Source organism: Homo sapiens, chromosome 11 (assembly GCF_000001405.40).
Source record: "Homo sapiens chromosome 11, GRCh38.p14 Primary Assembly".
NCBI lineage: Eukaryota > Metazoa > Chordata > Mammalia > Primates > Hominidae > Homo > Homo sapiens.
In genome coordinates, this window is record NC_000011.10 from 125,506,802 (window position 1) to 125,534,218 (window position 27,417).

At 42.5% G+C, this 27,417-nt stretch overlaps 1 annotated feature.

Annotated features, from left to right (window-relative positions):
* Nucleotides 25,870–26,343: a transcriptional cis regulatory region, noted in NCBI's record as "candidate enhancer chr11.5907 targeted for multiplex CRISPR interference". NCBI's record gives its function as "positively regulates FEZ1 gene expression with high confidence in K562 cells {active_cell/tissue: K562}" and the evidence as "EXISTENCE:mutant phenotype evidence [ECO:0000015][PMID:30612741]".

Consider the following 27,417-nt stretch of genomic DNA (forward strand, 5'->3'; position numbering starts at 1 on the left):
AGGTCAGAAGATCGAGACCATCCTGGCTAACATGGTGAAACCCTGTCTCTACTAAAAATACAAAAAACATTAGCCGTGCATGGTGGCGGGCGCCTGTAGTCCCAGCTACTCGGGAAGCTGAGGCAGGAGAATGGCGTGAACCCGCGAGGCAGAGCTTGCAGTGAGCCAAGATTGCACCACTGCACTCCAGCCTGGGCCACAGAGCTAGACTCCATCTCAAAAAAAAAAAAAAAAAAAAAAAAACAAGAATCATTGAATAATTTTTTCTTCAACAGCTCCCTTAAGAATATATAAAGGAAGGGCTGGGCACAGTGGCTCATGCCTGTAAATCCCAGCACTTTGGGAGGCTGAGGTGGGTGGATCACAAGGTCAGCAGTTTGAGACCAGCCTGGCCAATATGGTGAAACCCCATCTCTACTAAAAATACAAAAAAAATTAGCCAGGCATGGTGGCACATGCCTGTAATCCCAGCTACTCAGGAGGCTGAGGCAGGAGAATTGCTTGAACTCAGGAGGTGGAGGTTGCAGTGAGCCGAGGTCACGCCATTGCACTCCAGCCTGGGCAACAGAGCGAGACTCCATCTCAAAAAAAAAAAAAAAAAAACCAATATATAGAGGAAATGGCCAGGTTTGCTGGCTCACACCTGTAATCCCAACACTTTCAGAGGCTGAGGAGGGCAGATCACCTAAGGTCAGGAGTTTGAAACCATCCTGGCCAACACAGTGAAACCCCATCTCTACTAAAAATACAAAAATTAGCTGGGTGTGGTGGTGGGCACCTGTAATCTCAGCTACTCGGTAGGCTGAGACAGGAGAATCGCTTGAGCCCAAGAGGTGGAGGTTGCAGTGAACCGAGATTGCACCACCGCACTCCAGCCTGGGTGACAGAGCAAGACTCCATATCAAAAAAAAAAGACTATGTAGAGGAAATGATATCCTGAAAAACTCTTGACATGGTATGGCATTGAAACTGGGTTTTGGAAAGCTATGAGAGAAAAAAAATTCATTGTTGGATATTGATCAGATACCCAGGGGCACATGAGAAGTGAACTATGGAGTGCTTACCACTGTCTTAGAAAAGCCGTTGGATAGAGAATGAACATAAAACCAAAAGCTTTGAGAGGCTTGGCATCTATGATCAAAGTCAGCTGATTTTGTAGATTGGCAGAGTCAAATAAATCCAGATTCTTTCCAGGGTAAGAATTTGTTCTTTGGGTATAATGCTTGGACATGAATGCAATGCAAAATGTATAAATCAAAGAAAGCTCATTCATGACCTATTAGAAAAGAAAAGATTATCCCAAAGTCTAATAGTGGCACCTTTGTTTATAGCTAAAAGAAATGAATAGAAATTATTCTTAAATCCTTTTGTAAACTTGTTTCGAACAGAAAAAAATTGATCCACATTAAGTAATCCAGGTCTCTACTACTTGCAAGACCAGAAAAAATTCCCAGTTTAGTGTTCCACATAATTGTGTGATTATGGTAGATCTAATATCTAGTGCATTAAAAGAGAGGAAAACTAAAGGTAAGGGAGAAGAAGGAGAAGAATACATGACCTTGGTAACTGGGAAAAGCTCCACAGGCTAGGAGTCAGGAGTTTCGGACTTAAGTGTCAACTTTACCATTAGCTAGCTTTGTGACCAGGGAAAATTACTTAGGTTTTCTAAACCTCAATTTCCTCTGGTATAATATAAAGGGCTTACAATAAAATCCTTTCCTGGTTATAAATTTCATGAATCTAAACTCTTTTCTTTAAAAACGGATCCCCAAACTGTCCCAATTTTGTTTAAATTGACCCCAAATTCATTCAGGTATCATAGATGGTTTTTTAATATCTTTGCCTTTGTTTTTCAATTTGTAGACTCCTATATATTTCATAGGGATATTGTGAGAATGTGAGACAAAACAATACTTAGTTGTACAAAATCCTAGATAGAAAGCAAAGAAAGTGAAATCTATGAATTAACTTCAGTTCCATTTTATTCAGAAATTTTCTCTAACCAAACCTCAATTGCTACTTAGTCATAAAAAGAAAAAGTTCATGACTTATATCCATTGGATATTCTTTAATTTCCCATTCTAGGATGCTGGGTTTGCCAAATAAAAATATAGGACACCCTGTTAAATTTGAATTTCAGATAAGTGATGAGTAATTTTTTTTAAATAAATATCACACAAATATTGCATAGGACAGATTCATACTAAAAATTACTCATTGTTTATATGTAATTCAAATATAACTTGGCATGCTGTATCTCTATTTTATCTGGTGTAGGGGTAAAGAAAATTTTTTCCTCCCCCTCTGAATGTTTGCGTCCTTAATTCTGCTGAAATAAACTGACAATAGACATATTAGCAGGAGAAAAAAAGCATACAAATTCAGTAATGTGTAAGTGTGCATGGGAGCCACAAAATATGAGATTCAAAGAAGGGCCAGATGGTTGAAGCTTAAATACCCTCTTCATAGAGGAGAGGGAAGTGAGGGATGTAGGCAATTTTAGAAGAAGAAGAAATGAGTTTTTAGGAGCACTGAGTGGGCCCAAAGAGCAGACGATAGCCCAGCACAAAACTCCGCTGGGCTTTGTGAGAAGTGTCAACAAGTTACAGGAAGTTTGGGGGCAGAACTGCACTGAGAACAAAGGCTATCTTATTATGCAGATAAAATATCTCAGATTAGCCCTTAGAAGAATAAGTAGAAGGAATAGGTGAAAAGTCTGTCAAAGGATGGTGTCCTGGGCATAGAAACTTTTACTTTTCTTTCCTTCAATACAAGTTAATCTTCTCTAGTTAATGTAAATCCCAGGAAGAGGGCCCAAGACAATTGCATTCCTTCTGGATGAACTCCCCTCAGTCAGATAAGGGAATTTCTTTCTTTCTTTTTTTTTTTTTGAGACAGAGTCTCACTCTGTTGCCCAAGCTGGAGTGCTGTTGCGCCATCTCGGCTTACTGCAACCTCCAGCTCTCTGGTTCAAGCAGTTCTCTGCCTCAGCCTCCCAAGTAGCTGGGATTACAGGTGCCTGCCATCACACCCTGCTAATTTTTGTATTTTTAGTAGAGACAGGGTTTCACCATGTTGGCCAAACTGGTCTTGAATTCCTGACCTCGTGATCGACCTGTCTCAGCCTCCCAAAGTGCTGGGATTACAGGTGTGAGCCACCACCCAGCCTTTTTGTTTGTTTGTTTATTTGTTTGTTTTTGTTTTCGCTTGAGACAGAGTTTTGCTCTTGTCACCCAGGCTGGAGTGCAATGTCCCAATCTCGGCTCACTGAAACCTCCACCTCCTGGATTCAAGCAATTCTCCTGCCTCAACCTCCTGAGTAGCTGGGGTTACAGGCATCTGTCACCACACCCAGCTAATTTTTGTATTTTTAGGAGAGATGGGGTTTCACCATGTTGGCCAGGCTGGTCTCGAACTCCTGCCCTCAGGTGATCCACCCATCTCAGCCTCCCAAAGTGCTGGGATTACTGGTGTGAACCACCACACACGGCCAGATAAAGGAATTTCAGAGATGACCTCTCACTGCACTTCCTAAGGGAAAAGAGGGAAGGAGGAGGTCACAGAGAGAGCTTTGTTCTAAGTCTTATTTCTAAGACCTTTCAATCTCTTTTGTTCAAAGCACTCAGCCTGCCAAAGCTTCATATTTTGAGGTATCATTTTCTGAGCCCTAGCACTGGTAACACTTTACCTATCCTTACCTTGGTGGAGATATGCAATTCCCAAATAATTTGTGTCAGTGATAATTAATTAAGTTGTGTACTTTTTAGTATATATATTCTGTCTCTAAAAAAGTTTGACACATGGCCAGGTGCACTGGCTCATGCCTGTAATCCCAACACTTTGGGAGGCCGAGGCAGGTGTATCACTTAAGCTCAGGAATTTGAGATCAGCCTGAGTGACATGGCAAAACCCCATCTCTACAAAAAGAATACAAGAATTAGCTGAGTGTGGTGGTGCACACCCGTAGTTCCAGCTACTCAGGAGGCTGAGGTGGGAGGGTCACTTGAGCCTGGGAGGCAGAGGTTGCAATGAGCTGAGATCACACCACCGTACTCCCTCCTGGGTGATAGAGTGAGACCCTGTGTTAATTAAAAAAAAAAAAAAGTTTAAAACAATGTTCCTGGCCAGGCACAGTGGCTCACGCCTGTAATCCCAGCACTTTGGGAGGCCAAGGCGGGTGGATCGCCTGAGGTCAGGAGTTTGAGACCAGCCTGGACAATGTGGTGAAATCCCATCTTTACTAAAAATACTAAAATTAGCCAGGTGTGGTGGCAGGCGCCTGTAATTCCAGCTACTCGGGAAGCTGAGGTAGAGAATTGCTTGAACCCAGGAGGCAGAGGTTGCAGTGAGCCGAGATCATGCCATTGCATTCCAGCTTGGGTGACAAGAGCAAGACTCCATCTAAAAAAAAAAAAAAAAAAGAATGTTTCTAAATGATATTTTAATTGTTCTTGAATAATAAGTCTGATTTTTATGTGCTGTTGTCTTTCTTCTCCCTCTCCTCCACACTTTAAGAGTATCTTCTGTGAGCATTTCAGAGTGTCACATCTGGATATCCCCTGAAACCAACTGCTCTATAGGGAGAGTGAAAACAGGAGTAAGAGGCCGGTACAGTGGCTCATGCCTGTAATCCCAGCATTTTGGGAGGCTGAGGCAGGTGGATCACAAGGTCAGGAATTCGAACCAACCTGGCCAATATGGTGAAAACCCATCTCTACTAAAAATATAAAAATTAGCTAGGTGTGGTGGCAGCCACCTGTAATCCCAGCTACTCAGGAAGCTAAGGCAGGAGAATCACTTGAAACCAGGAGGCAGAGTTTGCAGTGAGCCGAGATCGCCCCACTGCACTCCAGCCTGGGTGACAGAGCAAGACTCTGTCTCAAAAAAAAAAAAAAAAAAGAAAAGAAAAGAAAATAGGAGGAAGAAAAAGGAAGGTGTAGCCAGCAGAAAATTTCTAAAGAAGGAATTGTTGCGGGACACAGAGGACTAGAGAGACTAGTACGGGTGAATACAAGAGGTATTTATTTTAAGGTACACAATGGCTCAGTGGATTCACATCTAAAAAGCTGAGCCAGTGCGTACCTTAAAATAAATATCCTCCTGTATTCACCCGTACTAGTCTCTCTAGTCCTCTGTGTCCCGCAACATTTCTTGGAGAGCCAGCCAGGAGGAGTGGAGATGGCAGATTTACTGTCTCCTTTGCCTGTGGGGCTGGAGCCCCAGGTCAAAGGAAACCTGTGACCCCAGGCGCCGCCGGGAGAACTTCAGCCCAGAAAGGAAATCAGCTCTCCTGTGACCCGGCACCCCTAACCAGCAGCACAACAAAACTTGAGAGGCTACAGGACAATTCCAGAAACAGTGTGCTTCAGGAACCACGGTCAAGTATTGAGTCCCAAGGCAGGACCTGTCCCATAAGGACAGAAGAGGAGCCTGATCATGTCCAGGGGCGTGACTATTAATCCGACCCAGAGGGGCTGGGGCAGCGAGCGTGGCTCACCAATTGGGATGAAAACTCACACCCCAGCTGACACAGGACATGAGAGTGGCTTGCAAAGTAGGTTAAGAAAAAGAAACTAGAGGTGGTGAGAGTGGCTCGCCACTCCAACTGGAAACACAAGAACAAAAGAGCATCAGCTGCTCTTTTATATTTCCCATTCCTTTACCTGATCATATCACGTAGGCCATGAGGCCTGATAAATCATTAAATAAAACTTGATCAATACATACACACAAAAACGTGTTCACAAATGTACATAGCAGCTTTATTCATCATAACCAAAAAAGTTGAAACAACCTTTTGGGGGTCAGAAAATATGGCATTTTGAAATGCTGAGTACTTTGAACTAAAGAAGCAGCCTCTGGCAGAGTACAATGGCTCACACCTGTAATCCTAGCATTTTGGGAGGCCAAGGTGGGAAGAATTGTTTGAGCCCAGGAGCCTAAGACCAGCCTGGGCTACATAGTGAGATCCTGTCTCTACAAAAAAATTTAAAAATGGGCTGGACATGGTGGCACATGCCTGTGGTCCCAGCTACCTGGGGGGCTGAGGTGGGAGAATCACTTGAGCCTGGGAGGGTGAAGCTGCAGGGAGCTGTAATGGTGCCACTGCACTCCAGCCTGGGTGACAGAACAATATCCTGTCTCAAAAAAACAAACAACAACAAAAAACAACAACAACAAAAAAAAGCAAAACAAAATTTTTTAAAGGAAAGGGCCTCAGAACCAAGGTCTCTCTGACCTTTCCCTGCTTACTATGTCTTGATTCTCTTTTTCTCCCAAAGCATAGGGAAGCACTTTCTCTGACATTTCCTTTATCTGACTAAGAGAAATCCCTCCAGAAGAAATGAAGTGTCATGAACTCACTCCCTGGAATCTATATGATCTCTAAGAGAGGAGACTAAATGTCTCCACATCTAGGACATCATGCCCAGACAGACTTTTCACTTATGCTTCTGAGAGCTACCTGAGAGACTTCTTCTGCATAATAAGACAACCTTTGCTTGCAGTGCTCTTCCTCCCCTCACTCTCCCACAGCTTGTTGCCACCACCCTCCAGGAGTCTTTAAGCTTCTAATTCTTTTTTTTTTTTTTTTTTTTTTTGAGACAGGGTCTCACTCTGTTGTCTAGGTTGGGGTGCAGTGGGTGCAATTACAGCTCACTGTACTCACTGCAGCCTTGATCTCCCTGGTTCAAGTGATCCTCCTACCTCAGCCACCTGAGTAGCTGGAACTACAGGGGCATGCCACCACACCCAGCTAAGTTTTGCATTTTTGGTAGAGATAGGGTTTTGCCACATTGGCCAGGCTGATCTGGAACTACTGGGCTCAAGCCATCCTCCCACCTCAGCTTCCCAAAGTGCTAGGATTACAGGTGTGAGCCACTGTGCCAAGCTAATTTTTTCTGTAGCTCACAATGCTATTTAAGCTTCAACCATCTGGCCCTCCTTTGTGTCTCATATTTTGTGGAACTCCTATACATATGCATGTAATAAATTTGTATGCCTTTTCTCCTGTTAATCTGTCTACTGTCAAGTTTATTCCAGAGATTATCGAGCCTTTAAAGGGTGGAAGGAGAGTTCCTTTCACTCCTACAAACCCAAATGTCCATCAAGGGATAAATGGATAAACAAATTGTGGTATATCCATGCAATGAAATGTCATTCAGCCATAAAAAGAACAAAATACTGATACAATGCTACAACACAGATAAGCTTGAAAGCATTATGTTGAGTGAAAGACAGCAGACACAGAAAGGCACATGGTACGTAATTTCATGTACATGAAATGTCTACATAGTGTCAATTGAAGAAAATGATGAGACAAGTCTCAATCATTTTAGATTTATTTGCCAAAGTTAAGGACGCATCCTGGAGACAGGTCTATGCCTTTCTCTGAAGATGATTTTGAGGCTCCAAATTTAAGGGGGAAAGGGTGGGATATTGAGAAGCACACAGTTTTCACATAAGCAAAAGGGGCAAAGGAAAAATGTGGGGAATCTGCATTTTACATAAGATAACACAGACAAAATGGAGTAGGGGAAAAATCAGATATTCATTTGTGTCTGGCAGGCCTGCACCTGTAAAGATGACCTAACAATTTGCATTGCCATAGTGACGTTTTAACAGCTCACTGGGAATTTCCCCATATTTTGCCCACAAGGAAATTCCTGGTGAGCTGCTAAAACATCACTGTGGCATGCAAATTGATAGGTTATCTTTACAGGTACAGGCCTGCCAGACACAAATGCATATCTGATTTTTGACTTTTCCCTTTGGCTAAATGACTCTGGGGTCCCAAAATGTAATTTCTTTTCACAATAGAAACATAAAGTAGATTGGTGGTTGCCAGGGGCTGTGGAGAGTGACTGCTAACGGATGTGTGGTTTCTTTAGTTTGGCAGGGTGTGTGTGTGGCGGGGGGTGGGATGATGAAAATGCACTAAAATTAAATTGTGGTAGATAGTAAAAGGAAGTAGTTATGTGATTGTTGCACAACTCTGTGACTATACTAAAAGCCACTGAATTGTGTAGTTTAAAAGGGTGGCTGGTTGGGCGTGGTGGCTCACGCCTGTAATCTCAGCACTTTGGGAGGCCGAGGCAGGCGGATCACCTGAGGTCGGGAGTTCAAGACCAGCCTGACCAACACGGAGAAACTCTGTCTCTACTAAAAATACAAAATTAGCCAAATGGGGTGGCACATGCCTGTAATCCCAGCTATTTGGGAGGATGAGACAGGAGAATCACTTGAACCTGGGAGGCGGAGGTTGCAGTGAGCCAAGATTGCGCCATTGCACTCCAGCCTGGGCAACAAGAGCAAAACTCCATCTCAAAAAAAAAAAAAAAAAAAGTGTGGCTGGATGCTGTGGCTCATGCTTATAATCCCAGCACTTTGGAATGCCAAAGCAGGAAGATTGCTTAAATCCTGGAGTTCAAGACCAGACTGGCCAACATAGCAAGACCCCATCTCTACAAACAAGTTTTTTTTTAATTAGCTGGGTAGGGTGGCACACACCTGTGGCCCCAGCTACTTGGGAGACTAAGAAGGCAGGAGGATCACTTGACCCTAAGGGGTAGAGGCTGCAGTGAGTTGTGATCACACCACTGCACTCTAGCCTGCACAGCAGAACAAGACCCTGTCTCTAAATAATAAATGAAAAGGTAAATTTTATGGTATGTGATTATATCTCAGTAAAAGTGTGATTTTTTAAAAAGTCAATGAATCTTAAACAAATAAGCAAACAAAAGCTTAGTCAGGTCTCAGGTGATGCTACACTACTACCCAAACAGATTCATTTCTAAAAAGCAAGCAGCGTAACAAGAGCAGCCATTTATGTGCTTACTATGTAAGGAGCTTTACCTAACAATACTGTTTGTTAAACTTTTCATCTCATTTTATTTGCACAATGACCTTATAAAGTATGTATGATTACCCTTTGTTTAGGAAAATGAGAAAACAGGCTCTCAGGGATGGGATAATTTGTTCAAGGCTCACACAGCTAAGAAGGGGTAAGGCAGGAGTTCTAACCCAGAGAGCCATCTGACTCCAAAGTTCAGGATAGCCACGTTCCCACTATGTTCATCAAAAAAAACAAGAATGAGCCAGGCGCTGTGGCTCACGCCTGTAATCCCAGCACTTTGGGAGGCCGAGGCGAGCAGATTATCTGAGGTCAGGAGTTCGAGACCAGCCTGGCCACCATGGTGAAACCCTGTCTCTACTAAAAATACAAAAATTAGCTGGGTGTGGCAGCGGGCGCCTGTAATCCCAGCTACTCGGAGGCTGAGGCAGGAGAATCACTTGAACCTGGGAGGCAGAGGATGCAGTGAGCCGAGACTGCACCACTGCACTCCAGCCTGGGTGACAGAGCGAGACTCCAGTGCAAAAAAAAAAAAATGCTGAGAAGGATTTTAGCTGAGTCTAAAACAAGTACTGGCAGGGCTCTGCTAACCACGCTGCTGCTCACTCCTTCTTCTGCAATAGTTATTTTTCCCTAATGGGTTTTTGTCTGTGTTGGAAGGAAGTCTTTTCTTCCACCAACTATGTTGTAGTGTGTGTTTGGGGCTTGGGGGACTGCAAATTAATTGATGATAGACAGATCCACAGAAGAAAAGACAAGGATTATTTACACATGCATGGGGGAGTACTCAGTAAAGGGTAATCCCTGGCAAAAATAGCCAGGGGTACGTGTGACTGCATCAGTTTAACAAAAGGGAATGGTGGTTAAGGCTTCATTGGGAATGTATGGAAGATTCTATTGGGCTTTTTTATTCTGATGCTAATGTACAGTCTTCTTTCTGGCTGGAAGCTGAATTAGACCAAATCTGGGGATTCTCCCAAACCTGAAGGGGGGTTAATGGCAGTCGTATTTTGGGAGGCTCTGCTTTAGTCAGATCAGGGAAGTCCAGATATGATTTCTATCTGCATCTGCTGTAGCTCAAATGGTTTCAGTTTAAAATAAACTTTTTATCTTTCTGAGGGTTTCTTGGTCCCTTCATTTGTTTGTTTCTGCTTTTACTATATTCCCAGACATTCTCAACATTATTGCAAAGATTTTTTTTTTCTTGCTTTAGGTGCTGCTTGGAAATGTCCTTGTCCCTAGATATCTTTAATAAAAGGTTCTTGGGCTCCAGAGCCCGAAAAAGCTCTGGGTGGTATTTTGCCTGCAACCAAAGCTTGACGTCAAAATTTGCACACGTGTTGTAGGATCATTTACTCTGTGTCTCCAGCCCCTACTCTTTTCTTGGTGTTCCTGAGTTATACTTCAGAACAGAAAAATATCAATAGGTTTAGATCTTAGTTCCACATTTGGCTCCCAGCCCTGCTCTAAGGCCCACCTCAGCTGAATTAAGGAGTGAGGTTTGAACTCATCAGCGGATTCTCCTTGGGTCCAGCTGCCCTCCTTTCCTCCTTTTTCTCTCCTCTGCAGGAAGGAAGGCTGCTTCCCCCTCCCCTATTCCTAAGGACTACTTCCCACCTCTTCCCTTCCCTCCACCCCCCCAGCTGCCTTTCTTATGGCTGCCAGGTTGCCATGCCAATAAGGTTCCCATGGTTACTAGGAAGAGCTGCTGCATTCCCACAGGCAGCTTTTATCTACCAAAAGAGAAAGGGAAACTAAATTGCTCCTAGGGAAAGAAAAAAAAAAAAAAAAGGGAGGGGAGGGACAGAGTTGGTCTTAGCCCAGGAGATCCTGCAAAAGGGGTCTTGTTAACTCTGGTATCTCCAGGCTGGACCTTGAACCAAATCCTGCTGCATCTATTCAAGTTCTCCTTCCCCTAAACCTAGGGAGAGAGGCGCCTGGCACTAGTTCAAGTCCATTGTTTCGCCTAGTATGGGGTCCACATAGACACCGCATTGTGAGCATCATGTTAATACATAAATACACTAATACATCTGTGCTCTTTGTCTATTAAGGAAACTGGCAAAATGCAAGGCATGCCCTGCTGCCTCCTCAGTTGGATATCTTGTCAGAGAAACTGCTTTTCTCCTGCTGGAGTTTCTTCCTGGGTAGACTATCTTAGGCCACGCCACTTTTTTTTTTTTTAATTCAGTTCATTTTTCTCAAATATAAACAAATATATGTTAGTGTAAAATTAAAAAATAAAGTAGCCGGGCATGGTGGCTCACGCCTGTAATCCCAGCACTTTGGGAGGCCAAGGCAGGCGGATCATCTGAGGTCAGGAGTTTGAGACCAGCCTGGCCAACATGGTGAAACCCCGTCTCTACTAATAATACAAAAATTAGTTGGGCGTGGTGGCACATGCCTGTAATCCCAGCTACTCAGGAGGATGAGGCAGGAGAATCGCTTGAATCCAGGAGGTGGAGTTTGCAGTGAGACGAGATCACGCCATTGCACTCCAGCCTCGGCTACAAGAGCAAAACTTCGTCTCCAAAATAAAAAATAAAATAAAATAAAATAAATAAGAGAAAAAATCATTCACATTTCCAAAATCAAATTATTTATTTCTTCTTTCTAAAATATACAGTTTTTGTTGTTACTGGTTTGTCTCACATAGTTGTAGAACATCATTTTTGAAACACAGTTTCCTTTATTTGGAATTTTGTTATGTTGAACTTTCTACTTTTATTAGCTGCCAATAAAAAATGGCAATTGGGCCAGGCACAGTGGCTCATGCCTGTAATCCCAACACTTTGGGAGATCAAAGTGTAAGGATTGCTTGAGCCCGAGAGTTCAAGACAAGCCTAAGCAACATGGCAGAACCTTGTCTCTAAAAAAAAAAATATAAAAATTAGCTGGGCATGGTGGCACACATCTGTAGTCCCAGCTACTCAGGAGGCTGAGGTGGGAGGATTGCTTGAGCCTGGGAGGTCGAGGCTGCAGTGAGCTGTGATCACACCACTGCACTCCAGCCTGGGCGACAGAGCTAGCTTTTGTCTCCAGAAAAAAAAAAAGCAATTTCTCAAAAAACGTATAGCATTATCATATAACTCAGCCATTCCACTCCTAGGTATAAATATACCCCCCCAAAATGAAAATATACATCCACAGAAAAATGTGTACATGAATGTTTATAACAGCATTATTCATAATAATAAAAAATGGAAACAAGACAAATATCCATCAACTGATTAATAAACAAAATATGGTGTAGTCATACAAAAGAATATTATTCAGCCAGAAAAGGAATGAAGTACTGATACATGCTACAACATAGATGAACCTTGAAAACATTATGGAAGTGAAAGAAGGCAGAAATAAGGCAGACATAGAAGACCACAGAGACAGGATTGTTCCCTTGACTTTGACCCCCTTCATGGGTGGGAACTGGAGTGGCTCGTTTAACTCAGCCACTGCTGACCACTCCTTGTGAGAGGGAGCATGCAAGCAAGTGAGGGAACGAAGGCTGGAACCAGCCAGTCACTCCTCCCTAGCAGGAGCAGGCTCTGTACAAGCCCTACGGCAGCATCCAAGCCCCTACTCTCTCAGCATCTGAGTTCTTGTCTGGCATCCAGGAATAACCATCAGGTCACACAAATGGATTGAAGGGTAGTGTATGTGGAAGATTTTACTGGGCGATAAAGGTGGCAGTTTGCATCAGCCGCTTGCATCCCCCAGTGCTCAGCAGCTTGCATCCCCCAGTGCTCAGCAGCTTGCATCCCCAACCACTTGCATCAGCCACTTGTGTTGCTCTGCCAGCTAGTCTTTTTATGGGCACAGGATAGGGGTACTGCAGGCCAAAAAAGCAACATTTGGGTGGAAAAACAGAGTCAGCTTCTTCTTCTTAGGATGGAGGTTCCAGGCTTAAGAGTGGGGATTTAGCCGGGAGCCAAGCCATTCTGTGTCAATAAAATTCTATTACATAAAATTGAAACTGCCTTTGCAAAGATTATGACAGTGAGAGAAGTCTAGCATGGCAGACTCCATCTTGCTTTTAGCCTCACAGACTGGCTGTTTTTGCTCATTTCTGGGCATAGGCCAAGTTAACCATGGGAGGAATTTAGTTTATAGTTTAACTTGGAAGCAAGGATGATAAGAGTATCTCCCCAAAACTAATCCCTTCCTTGTTTGGGCCTTTGTAAAACTAATGAAAGGCCACAAGATTAGGATTATGGGAGGGGCCCAAAATCTGCTGCAATGTAGGTATAGTTTCTATAATCCCTTACATCTCAGGAGTCATGTGGCCAGATGTTGAAAAATTTGTGACTTCCCCAGTTGCTTCTGTAGTCACTGTTGTAGAATCTTTTGAGATGTTTTTCAGACTGACACCACCTAGACTCCTGACTCATGACTCAACTGGTCCTGTGGCCCTCAACCCAATTGCCAACTCAGCACACAAAGGCCATTTTCCACACCCCTATGATTGCTTCCCCAACCAGTCATCAGCACCCATTCCCTAGCCCCCTGCCCACCAAACTATCCTTGAAAAACCATAACCTTTGAGCCTTCCAGGAAACTGGTTTGAGTAATAACTCTGTCTACCACATGGCTAGCCTAGTGTCAAACTCTTTCTTTACTACAATACCACAGTCTCAGTGAATTGGTTTTGTCTGTGTAGTAGGCAAGGTGACCCCATCAAGCAATTAAAAAATGTCCAGAATAGGCATCTATAGAGAAAGTAGTGTTTGGGCCAGGTGTGGTAGCTCACACCTTTGTAATCCCAATACTTTGAGAAGCTGAGGCAACTGGATCACTTGAGGCCAGGAGTTTGAAACCAGCCTGGGCAACAAAGCAAGACCTTGTCTCTACAAAAAATTTTAAAAGTAGCTGGACATGATGGCATGTGCCTGGGGTCTCAGCTACTTGGGAGGCTGAGGTGAGAGTTGCCTGAGCCCTGGACTTGCAGGATGTAGTGAGGTATGATTACACCACTGCATTCCAGCATATGCGACAGACTGAGATCATGTCTAAAAATGAAATAAAATAAAGAGAAAGTAATGTTTGCCTAGGGCTAGGGGAGTGAGATAGGAATGGGAGCGATGGCTAATGGACACAGTCTATTTTGGAGGCAAAAAACATGATCTAAAATTAGATCATTAAAGGTATTTATGCATATTTTAAAAAATAAAATAAAACTAGATCATAGTGATAATTGCACAACTCTTTGAATATGCCAAAAACCATTGAATTATACATTAATTTTTTTTTTATTATTGTTTGTGGAAACAGGGTCTAACTATGTTACCCAGGCCAGTCTTAAACTCCTGGTCTCAAGGAATCCTTCTGCTTTCCAAAGTGCTGGGATTACAGGAGTGAACCACTGTCCCCGGCCTGAATTATACACTTTTAGTGGGTGAAATGTATAGAATGTGAATTATATCTCAACGAAGCTGTTTTGAAAAACTGAAAATAAAAAATTAAAAGGATGTATTTAGGTCTCAGCAAATTATTGAACTCTAAAGGCTCTAATAGCTTAATATGAAAAGTCAAACAAATCCTATTAGCCTGAACCTGTAATTAACTAAGGAGAAATTCCTTTAAGCCTTTTCCAATTCTTGGGCTCAGCAAATTCAGTCCAGAGCCTTTATTTTTAATTCTGCCATGAATGTATTTCTTCTTTAATTTCCTGGATGTTGTCAAGATAAAGGGCGGGATAAGAGAGATTGCTTTCCTAAACATTCATGAAGAGGGAAATCCCCCAACATCACACCATTTGTCCTGGGAAAGCAATTACTTTTTGGCTTCAACTTCATCATATCTAAATGGGGACAATAATAAATATAAGTTCTACGCCAGACGTGGTGGCTCACGCCTATAATCCCAACACTTTGGGAGGCCAAGGTGGGCAGATCACCTGAGGTCAGGAGTTCGAGACCAGCTTGGCCAACATGGGGAAACCTCAAACCCCGTCTCTACTAAAATACAAAAGTTAGCCCAGCATGGTGGCACACGCCTGTAATCCCAGCTACCTGGGAGGCTGAGGCAGGAGAATTGCTTAAACCTGGGAGGCAGGGGCTGCAGTGAACCAAGATGGCACCACTGCACTCCAGGCTGGGCAACACAGCAAGACTCTGTCTCAAAAATAAATAAATAAATAACTTATGTTAGCATATGGAAGAAAACTTGGAATAGGCAAAAGAGATTAATTGGGTTTCTTCAGTGGAAAACAAGCCATTGTTTAGAGCAAACCTGAGGTATCAGCTACATGTGGTCTCTGTCACCAGCTCCTGGCACAGAACTCTCAAAACTCTTGGCATTTCCTAAATGATAGGAATGCCTTTTGTTTTTCATGACGAGTTCCTCACTATCTGTACAATAGTTCAATTTTACCTCCTTTGAAATTTATCCTTGTCAAGAGAGAAAATTACAACAAATTTAAAGATCTCAATTAGGTTTATGCAATTCTATAATCAGACAACACATTAGTCCATAAAGTAGAATAAATGTTCCAATGAGTCGAGCAGAGGAGGTTCACTTTATAGACAGAATAAAGGGCTGAAGAAAGCAAAAACAAAGATCAAGGCCCAGTGCGCTTGCTCACACTTGTAATCTCAGCACTTTGGGAGGCCAAGGCAGGTGGATCACGAGGTCAAGAGATGGAGACCATCTTGGCCAACATGGTGAAACCCCATCACTACTAAAAATACAAAAAATTAGCTGGTCCTGGTGTCGCACGCCTGTGGTCCCAGCTACTGAGGAGGCGGAGGCAGCAGAATCGCTTGAACGTGGAAGGTGGAGGTTGCAGTGAGCCGAGATCACACCACTGCACTCCAGCCTGGTGACAAAGCGAGACTCTGTATAAATTTTAAAAAAAAAAGGGCCAGGTGCAGTGGCTCATGCCTGTAATCCCAGCACTTTGGGAGGCCGAGGCAGGCAGATCACAAGGTCAGGATATCGAGACCATCCTGGCTAACACAGTGAAATCCTGTCTCTACTAAAAAATATAAAAAATTAGCCACGCGTAGTAGTGGCTGCCTGTAGTCCCAGCTACTTGGGAAGCTGAGGCAGTAGAATGGCCTGAACCTGGGAGACGGAGCTTGTAGTGAGCAGAGATTGCACCACTGCACTCCAGCCTGGGCAACAGAGCGAGACTCCATCTCCAAAAAAAAAAAAAAAAAGGGGGAGTGGTTATTTCAAAGTTACTTTCCTTGTAAGGCAGGGACAGGGAGACAAAATAGAAAGATAATTGACTGGTTAACATCAGGTTACTTCACTTTACTCTTTTTTGTAAAAATTAAAACAGAGGGGGCCGGGCACAGTGCCTCATGCCTGTAATCCCAACACTTTGGGAGGCCAAGGCAGGTGGATGACCTGAGGTCAGGAGATCAAGACCATCCTGACCAACATGGAGAAACCCCGTTTCTACTAAAAATACAAAATTAGCCAGGGGTGGTGGCGCATGCCAGTAATCCCAGCTACTCAGGAGGCTGAGGCAGGAGAATCTATTGAACCCGGGAGGCGGAGGTTGCGGTGAGCTGAGATCACGACATTGCACTCCAGCCTGGGCAACAAGAGCGAAACTCTGTCTCAAAAAAAACAAAAACAAAAACAAAAAAACACAAAAAACAACAAACAAACAAACAAACACACAGAGAACTTCATTATCATGCCCACTGAAGATGGAAACTGGAAACTGGCCTTTTGCTGGTGGTTCTCCTCCAGTATAAACTCAAGAATTTTTTAAAATTTTATTTTTTTAAATGAAACTGGCCTATTGGGAAACTAGTCTGTAATTTTTTTCTCCCAGTTTCTCGAAAGACCAAATAACAAGTCAGTTTTGGTTTGGCAAGCTTAGATGACTTCATTTTAATTTTTAGTTTGGTCTACTGGGGCCTAGCGGAGGAATTTAGTCCAAAATGATAGCCTCCTATAATTTTTGTTTAACATCTTTTAACACTATTATCTTTCTGTTTCTGGTAAAAGAAGAAGCACTTCTAGACCTTGACTTTTTCCAGTGCACTGCAAACCTTCTCGGTTAAATTGAGAGGGTAAACATTTATTTTAGTAAAGGTTTGAACATAGGCTCATTTTAGTTTTCAGCTATGCCTCTACATATCAAAAAGCACATCAAAAGAAATTTCCCTTTCAATGTTAGATATGGATAGTAATAACTATTTACATTTACTCAGTAATTTATATATTTCAGGCACCATTTTAAATATGTTATTTGCATTATTCCTATGAAGTGAATGCTGAGAACAGCAATCCTCTCCTCTTTCCCTCAGCCTGATCACTGAGAACCAAAACCATACTGGACTGCCTACAATAAAAAGACTCTGCTGAGCACAGAGGAGGTCTACAGGAAAGAAAAAAAAAAAAAAACTTTGCTACTTCACTGTCTTTATTAGCATTTCGTACTTTTCCTGACTTGCCCAAGCAAATGGTTAGATTCTGCATTACAGGAATTTCTCAAAAGACCCATCAACTCTTCAATAGCAAGCATCAAAAAAGCATCAATAGGCAGCCTGCACCTTACAATTCTTTGAATTATATTATTTTGCAATAAAAGAGAATAAAGTGCTAATACATAATATAACATGCATGGACCATGAAAACATTATGCTAAGTGAAAGAAGCCAGCCACAAAGGACCATATATTGTGTGCAGAGGTGCACGCCTATAATCCCAGCTACTTGGGAGGCTGAGGTACGAGAATCACTTGAGCCCAGAACTTTGAGCCCAACCAGAGCAAAATAGCTAGACCCTGTCTCTAATTTAAAAAAGAAAGTAGGGCCAGACGCATTGGCTCATGCCTGTAATCCCAACACTTTGGGAGGCTGAAGTGGGCAGATCGCCTGAGGTCAGGAGTTTGAGACCAGCCTGGCCAATATGGTGAAACCCCGTCTCGACTAAAAATACAAAATAATTAGCTGGGCATGGTGGCACACACCTGTAATCCCAGCTACTCGGGAGGCTGAGGCAGGAGAATGGCTTGAACCCAGGAAGCTGAGGTTGCAGTGAGCTGAGACGACACCATTGCACTCCAGCCTGGGCAACAAGAGTGAAACTCCATCTCAAAAAAAAGAAAGAAAAAAAGAAAGAAAGTAGATTAGTGGCTGCCTGGTGGTAGTGGTCGTGGGAAGAGTTTGGGTAAAGGGGGAGTGACTGCAAACGTATAGTGGGTTTCTTTTTGGCATGAAGAATATGTTCTCAAATTTGTTGTAGCAATTTTTGCCCAACTCTGTGGATATACTAAAAACCACTGAATTGTATACTGTAGATGGGTGAATTGTATGGTATGTGAGTTACATCTCAAAGTTATTTTTTGAAAAAATATTCTTTAAATCCTTCTTAAGGCCGGGCATGGTGGCTCACACTTGTAATCCCAGCACTTTGGGAGGCTGAGGCAGGTGGATCACCTGAGGTCAGGAGTTCAAGCCCAGCCTGGCCAACATGGTAAAACCCCATCTCTACAAAAATTAGCCAGGCATGATGGCAGGTGTCTGTAATCCCAGCTACTCGGGAGGCTGAGGCAGGAGAATTGCTTGAGCCCAGGAGGCAGAGGTTGCAGGGAGCTGAGATCACACCGCTGCACTCCAGCCTGGGTGACAGAGCAAGACTCTGTCTCAAAAAAAAAAAAAAAAAAAAATCCTTCTTAAAATCCTTGCCTTGCTGTTTCCACCAATCCTAGACCATTGTATGGGACTCATAAAACAATATTCTAAAGTATGGTGCTGATATGGTTTGGCTTTGTGTCCCCACCCAAGTCTCATCTCAAACTGTAATCTCCATGTGTCGAGGGAGGGACCTGATGGGAGGTGATTAGATCATGGGGGCAGTTTCCTGCATGCTTTTCTCAGATAGTGCGTGAGTTCTCAAGAGTTCTGATGGTTTAAAAGTGACAGTTTCCCCTGTGCTCGCTCTCTCTCTCCTGCCACCATGTAAAACGTGCCTTGCTTCCCCTTTGCCTTCCACCATGACTTCAAGTTTCCTGAGGCCTCTCAGCCATGTGGAACTATGAGTCAATTGAACCTCTTTCTTTATAAATTACCCATTCGCAGGTATTTCTTTATAGCAGTGTGAAAATGGACTAACACAGGTGCTTTGGTATGTTGAGCACTTTTGAATCAAAAGAAATTAGAAGATCTTAGAAGCTGCTTCTAACCTTCTCTTGTTCCTCCAGCCCCAAGCACAGAGAGGAATTCCCTCTGGAATTTCTTTACCTGAATAAGAACATTTCAACTTTTTTTTTTTTTTTTTTTTTTGAGACAGAGTCTCGCTCCATTGCCCAGGCTGGACTGCAGTGGCACGATCTCAGCTCACTGTAACCTATGACTCCTGAGTTTAAGCAATTCTTGTGCCTCAGCCTTCCAAGTAGCTGGGACCACAGCCACGCACCTCCACGCCTGGCCAATTTTTTGTATTTTTAGTAGAGACAGGGTTTTGCCATGTTTTCCAAGATGGTCTCAAACTCCTGGCCTGAAGTGATCCACCCACCTCGCCTCCCAAAGTTCTGGGATTACAGGCATGAACCATCACACCTGGCCTGACTGAAGAAATTTCTATCCAAAAGAACTGCAATTGTCTTAAGACCTCCTATCCTAGGAATCTCATTAGATAACCAGGAAAGATTAACCACCAGAAGAAATTTCTATCCAAAAGGACTGCAATTGTTTTAAGACCTCCTAGCCTAGGAATCTCAACCAGGAAAGACTACCAGAAAAGCAAAGAGACTAAAAGTCCTCACCATACCTACACAGACTTCTCCTCTATTCTTCTGAGGACAGCTCCAAGAGCTTACCTGAGAGGCATTATCTGCATAAGACAACCCTTGTTCACAGTGCAGTTCTGCCCCTCACCTTCCAAAAATTTGCCACCACCTCCCCCAGAACTCAGAGGAACTTTGTCCCAGACCATTGTCTGTTCTTTGGGCTCATTAAGTTTCACTGAAAATCATTTACCACCCCTCAAAATTATCTATACATCTTTCCTCTCCCCTGTGAAGAGGATTTGCTTTTTTCTTTCCTTCTTTTTCTATTAATTTTAATTTTTAAGTTCCAGGGTACACGTACAGGATGTACAGGTTTGTTGCATAGGTAAACGTGTGCCACAGTGGTTTGCTGCACCTATCAACCTAGGTATTAAGCCCAGCATGCAACTTTTCTTATTTATTTATTTATTGAGACAGGATCTTGCTGTGTAGGCTGGTCTCCATTTCCTGGGCTCAAGGGATCCTCCTGCCTCAGCCTCTCAATTAGCTGAAACTACAGGTGTATACCACTGCACACCCCTGAAGAGGTTATTTAAGCCTCAACAATCTTGTCCTTGTTTGAGTCTCATATTTTGTATGACTCCCATTCTTATGCACATTAATAAATTTGTATGCCTTTTCTCATGTTAATCTATTGTCATTTAATTTCAGCAGAGTCAAACCTTTGTAGGGAGAGGGAAACATTCCCTCCACTCCTACAGTTGTGTTATGATTCCTACTCAACCCTTATCTAGTACCCTGTATTGAAAGAAATGCCTTAAACCAAACTTCTAATTCTCAATAAAAAAATTTTTAATATTCAGTGGCCAGTTACTGGATCAATAAATTTTGGTCTTACCTTCCCCTTCTGAGAATTCCCAAAGCTCTGTTCAGGTGGTGTTCTTCCTTACTATGGTAAACAGTAAACTCAGCATCATGCTATCAACAAATTGGGCTGGTAATGTTTGGGAAATGGCTATTAGTTTTGTTTTTTTTTTTTTTTTTTTTTTTGTTTTTTTTTGAGATGGAGTCTCCGTTTGTCACCCAGGCTGGAGTGCAGTGGTGTGATCTCGGCTCACTGCAACCTCTGCCTCCCAGGTTCAAGCAATTCTCCTGCCTCAGCCTCCCGAGTAGCTGGGATTACAGGCATGCCCCACCATGCCTGGCTCATTTTTGTATTTTTAGTAGAGACAGGGTTTCACCATGTTGGCCAGGCTGGTCTCGAACTGCTAACCTCGAGGGATCTCTCCACCTCGGCCTCCCAAAGTGCTGGGATTACAGGCTTGAGCCACTATCCCTGTCTTTGTTTTTTTGTTGTTGTTGTTCTTTTTTTTAAAACTATGTTAAAATATATATAACATAAAATTTTACCATTTTAACCAGTTTAAAATGTATATAGTTCAGTGGCATTAAGTACATCACATTGTTGTACAACCAGTGCTACTATCCATCTGCAGAACTTTTCATCATCCCCAACTGAAAATCTGTAGCTATTAAACAATAACATCCCATTACCCCCTTGCCCCAGCCCTGGGGACACCACCATTGTTCTTGCTGTCTCCATGAATTTGACTATTCTAGCTACCCTATATAAAAGGAGTCATACAGGGCTGGGCGCTGTGGCTCACACCTGTAATCCCAGCACTTTGGGAGGCCGAGGCGGGCAGATCACGAGGTCAGGAGATCGAGACCATCCTGACTAACATGGTGAAACCCCGTCTCTACTAAAAATACAAAAAATTAGCCAGGCATGGTGGCAGGTGCCTGTAGTTCCAGCTACTTGGGAGGCTGAGGCAGGAGAATGGTGGGAACCCAGGAGGCGGAGCTTGCAGTGAACCGAGATCGCGCCACTGCACTCCAGTTTGGGTGACAGAGCGAGACTCCATCTCAAAAAAATAAAGGAGTCATACAATATTTGTCCTTTTGTGTCTGGCTTCTTTCATTTAGCAAAATATTTTCAAGGCTTATTCATATTGTAGCATGGATCAGAATTTCTTTTCCAATTCCTTTGAGGCTTTATGGGATACTGTGAAATATATATTTGGTTTTTGTCCCTGTCTCCTGTCATACAACTCCTAATATCCTTGGAACCTCCAAAGACATCAGTGTCTTTATGTATACTAATGAGTTGACTGGTGACTGGCAGGCCCTGGGTAACTTCGGGATGGGGGCTGGTCACTGCAAAGACCAAAGCATCATTAGAGGGTTGGGACTTTCAACCTCACCCCCAAACCTCTGGGAAGGGGTGGGGGTTGAAGGTCAAGTTGATCACTCACGGCCAATGATTTAATCAATCATGCCTACACAATGAAGCTTCGATAAAAACCCAGAACAGGTGGCTTCGGGGATGTTCTGGATAGCTAAATGCATGAAGGTTCCTGGAGGGTGCCATACCCAGAGAGGGCATGGAAGCACCATGTGCCTTCCCTCATAACTCACCGTATGTATCCCTTTATCTGTAACCTTTGTAATGTCTTTTACAATAAACTAGTAAATGTGTTTCCCTGAGTTCTGTGAGCTGCTTTAGCAAATAAATCAAACCCATTGAGAGTGTTTTAGGAAGCCCAATGTATTGTTGACTGGTCAGAAGCACGAGTAAAACAATATGGAGCTTACAATTGGCATCAGAAGTAGTGGGCAGTCTTGCGGGACTGAGCCCTCAACCGGTGGGATCTAATGCCATCTCCAGGTAAACAGCGTCAGAATTGAATTGAATTAGAGGATACTCAGCTGGTGTCAGCTGAAGACCCTGCTGCAGAACTAATTGATTGGTTGTTGGTGGGGAGAAATCTCCATTCATTTCTTGGTGATGAGAGATCACAGAAGTCTTTTATGGTATGATGTGAGAGCAGATGTGAAAACAGCAGATGAGAAAACAGTTTGCTTTTTCTACAGGCTGTAATTTCTTTAATAATATTAAAGGCTTTGGGCAGGCACGGTGGCTCACATCTATAACCTCAGCACTTTGGGAGGCTGAGGCAGGAAAAATGCTTGAGGCCAGAAGTTCAAAACCAGCCTGGTCAACATAGAAAAACCCCGTCTCTACAAAAGAAAAATTTAAAAATTAGCTGGAGGTGGTGGTGCACACCTCTAGTCCCAGCTACTCAGGAGGCTGAGGTGGTGGATTGCCTAAGCCGAGGAGGTCAACGCTCCAGTGAGCCATGATTCTTCCACTACACTCCAGTCTGTTTGACAGAGCAAGACTCTGTCTCTAAAAAAAAAAATAATAAAAAATAAAAATAAATTAAAGGCTTTAATTCCTTGAATAATATCCTATTGCTTGTATGTGCCACATTTCATCTCTCTATTCATCGTTAGTGGACACTTGGGTTGTTTCCACATTTTGGCTGTTGTGAATAATGCTGCTACTATGAACAGACACAAATATCTGTTTGAATTCTTACCTTCACTTTTTTTGGGTATACACCTAAAAGTAGAATTGCTGGATCATAGGGTAATTCTATGTTTAATTTTTTGAGGAGGCACCATAGTGTTTTCTACAATAGCTTCTCCATTTTACCTTCCCACCAGCAATGTACATGGGTTCCAATTTCTCCACATCCATGTCAATGCTTGTCATTTTCTGTTTTGTTTTTGTTGTTGTCATTGTTGTTTATCTATATAGTAGCCATCCTAATGGGAGTGAAGTGGTAACTCATTGTGGTTTCAATTTGCATTTCTCTAATAATTAGTAGTGTTGAGCATCTTTTCATGTGTTTATTGGTCATTACTGAAGAAATGTCTATTCAAGTCATTTGACCGTTTTTTACTCTGGTTGTTTGTTTTTTGTTGTTACGTTGGGAGAGTTCTTTATGTATTCTGGATAGTAACCCCTTACCAGACACATGATTTGCAAATATTTTCTCTCATTCCATAGGTTGTCTTTTCTGTTGATAGTGTCCTTTGATGCACAAGTCTTAAATTATCATGTAGTTCAATGTATCTATTTTTTTTTTTTTGAGACAGTCTTGCTCTGTTGCCCAGGCTGGAGTGCAGTGGTGTGATCTCGGCTCACTGCAAGCTCCACCTTCCGGGTTCATGCCATTCTCCTGCCTCAGCCTCCCGCGTAGCTGGGACTGCAGGTGCCCGCCACTATGCCTGGCTAATTTTTTTGTATTTTTTTTAATAGAGATTGGGTAATTTATCTATTTTTGTTGTTGCTGCCTGTGCTTTTCATGTCTTATCTAAAAAATTATTGTAGAATCCTATGTCATGAAGTTTTTAGTTTATGTTTTCTTCTTAGGGTTTTATAGTTTGAACTCTTAAATTTAGGTATTTGTTTCACTTTGACTTTTTTTTTTTTCTTTTTGAGACAGGGTCTCATTCTGTCAACCAGGCTGGAGAGCAGTGGCACAAACTCAGCTCACTGCAACCTCCGCCTCCCTGGCTCAAGTGATCTTCCCACCTCAGCCGCAAGAGTTGCTGGGACTACAGGTGAACACCACCATGCCTGGCTAATTTGTGTGTGTGTGTGTGTGTGTGTGTGTGTGTGTGTGTGTGGAGATGGAGTTTCGCCATGTTTCCCAGGATGGTCTCGAGTTCCTGAGCTCAAGCCATCCACCCGCCTCAGCCTACCAAATTTCTGGGATTACAGGTGTGAGCCACTCCACCTGGCCTGACTTAATTTCTGTATATGGTGTAAAGTAGAGGTCCAGCTTCATTCTTTTGCATGTGGATATTCAGTTTTCCCAGCCTCATGTGTTGAAAAGACTGTTCTTACCCCATTGAATGGTCTTGGTACCTTGTTGAAAATCATCTGACTTTACATGCAAGGTTTATTTTCAGACTCTATTTTATTCCATTGGTCTATATATCTGTCTTTATGCTAGTACCATGAGAAGTCACTTTTTTTTTTTTTTTTTTTGAGATGATGTCTCGCTCTGTTGCCCAGGCTGGAGTACAGTGGCGCGATCTCAGCTAATTTTTGTAGTTTTAGTAGAGACGGGGTTTCACCATGTTGGCCAGGCTGGTCTCAAACTCCTGACCTCAGGTGATCCGCACACCTTGGCCTCCCAAAGTGCTGGGATTACAGGCATGAGCCACTGCGCCCGGCCTAATTTTTTTTTCTTAAGACAGGATCTCGCTCTGTCACCCAGGTTGGAGTGCAATGGAGTGATCTCGGCTCACTGCAACCTCTGCTTCCTGGGTTCAAGCAATTCTCCTGCCTCAGCCTCCCGGGTAGCTGGGACCACAGGCATGCGCCACCACGTCTGGATAATTTGTGTGTGTGTGTGTGTGTGTGTGTGTGTGTGTGTGTGTATTTTTAGTACAGACGGTGTTTCACCATGTTGACCAGGCTGGTCTCGAACTCCTGACCTCAAATGATCTGCCTACATCCACCCGCCTTAGCCTCCCAAAGTGCTGGGATTACAGGCGTGAGACCGTGCCTGGCCTGAGAAGTCAGCTTTTAAAAGAGCCTTTTTTTTACAGATGATAAAACCAAAACAAAGACAGGTTAACTAACTTATCCAAAGATATACATATAGTCAATAATTCAGAGATTTTAACTTAGTAGTCTGACACCAAACCACAGTTTTAACTACTACAAAAGAAAATGTGCCAAGTGTTTAAGCATAGAACTTCACTTGTGCAAAGTTATGAGTATGAATTTTACTGATATGTTTTGTTAAATGAAAGAACAAATATATAAAATAATATTTTAAATATATTTAAAATGTCAACATTATGACTTATACATTATATTATTATTATTTTTGAGACGGAGTCTCACTCTGTCACCCAGACTGGAGTGCAGTGGCGCAATCTCAGCTTACTGCAACCTTTGCCTCCTGGGTTCAAGCAATTCTCCTGTCTCAGTCTCCCGAGTAGCTGGGACTACAGGCGCCCGCCACCACGCCCAGCTAATTTTTTTTTTTTTTTTTGTAGTAGAGATGGGGTTTCACCATATTGGTCTGGCTGGTCTCAAACTCCTGACCTCAGGTGATCCACCCACGTCAGCCTCCCAAAGTGTTGGGATTACAAGCGTGAGCCACTGTGCCCAGCCGACTTATACATTTTAACTTGAATCACAGTATGCCCAAATCTATGTAATAATGATTTATATCGTAAAAAATCCCCACTCCTCACAACATTTTCAGGAAGATAGGTCTGTGTTTCCAATAATCTTCACCTTAACGGCCCATAGGCCCTTCAATTCAATCATATTTATACCTCAACTCATGATCTTTGGACTCCTCTGTTCTATTCTAGTCCATCTTTTCTTTAATTTTTGAAACACAAATCTGATCTCATTCTCTGATTCAAATGTTTTAATGTGAAGGTTAGAAAATGGCTAAATTGAGCTTGCAGAAATATTTTGTTTGACCTTCAGTTTTTCCAACATTGAAAAAATCAGGAGATTTCTTGCAAAAATCCTGATTCCTGGCCTCTCTTGAAGAATTTGGTTGTCTTGCAACATGTCCTGCGTTGCCATATGGCCGCAACTACTTGCATCTCCACCCAGTTAATCTGCTCTGGGGCCTACAAACATCTGACTTTACAGATAATGCTCTAAGGGTTCCTTGGGGCCTGCAGTACTGTCAGGACAAACTGGTTCCTTAGGCAGCAATGAGATTAGTGAACTAAACGTCCACATATCAACCTGAATGATCTTCAAAACACTGCTGAGTGAAAAAAAGTAAGAAACAAGCTGAGACCTATAGCATAATTTATATAAATTAAAAATATATACATATCATAAAAGAGTTCACATTTCACGAGAAGATACTCCAATAAAATGGACATATATCACACACTTGGAACATTTTATAGTTAAGGACACAGAAAGGGAGGGGAGTATACTAGGAACTGAGAAGTGCCATTAACTCAATAAGCTGGAGCTGATATCCCCCAAAAAAGTGGGAAAAAAAGAAGTTAAAAACTTTTTTTTTGAGACAGAATCTTGCTCTGAATGAATAACATATTTTTCATTTTAGACATTGTAGTTTAAGTCTCTAATTCAATTTGGACCTTTAAAAACCTTCCAGTCTATTTAACTTGCTCATTTTTTCTCTACCTTATTAAACATATGAAATACAGTTAAAGTAACTCTTTTATGCCTTTAGTTATTATATCATTTGTGTCATTTACAGATCTGTTTCCATTGATTGATTATTCTCATTATATGTCATATTTTCCTGATTTTTCCATGTCTGGGCATTTTTGGTTGAATGTAAGATGCTCTGAATGTTTTCTTGTTGGGAGGTGGATATTTTTATATTTATATACATATTCTTGAGCTTTTTTTCAGGGATACAGTTAACTTGCTTGGAACACTTACTTTCAAGGATGGGGATGATGTTTAAACTTTGTTAGGGAGGACCAGAGCAGCCTTTATTACAAGACTAATTTTTCCCAGTCCTGAGGAAATACTCTTTTAGGAATTATTTTAAACAATATCATTTACTAATTATATATATATATGTATATGTGTGTGTATATCTATGTATATATATGCCAAGTGCAGTGGCTCATCCCTGTAATCCCAGAACTTTGGGAGGCTGAGGCAGGCAGATTGCTTGAGCCCGGGAGTACAAGACCAGCCTGGGCAACATAGTGAAGCTCTGTCTCCACAAAAAATACAAGAATTAGCTGAATATGGTGGCCCATGCCCACAGTCTCAGCAACTCGGGCTGCCAAGGTGGGAGGACTGCTTGAGTCTGGGAGGTAAAGGCTGCAGTCAGCCATTTCATGCCACTGCACTCCAGCCTGGGTGACAGAGTAAGACCCTGTTTAAATAATTATAATTGATGTATAAAATTATTATACATAATTATGATATATATATTTCCTTTCTGGCTTATGGAAATGCAAAATATTCCTAGCTCTTTGAGAAGTT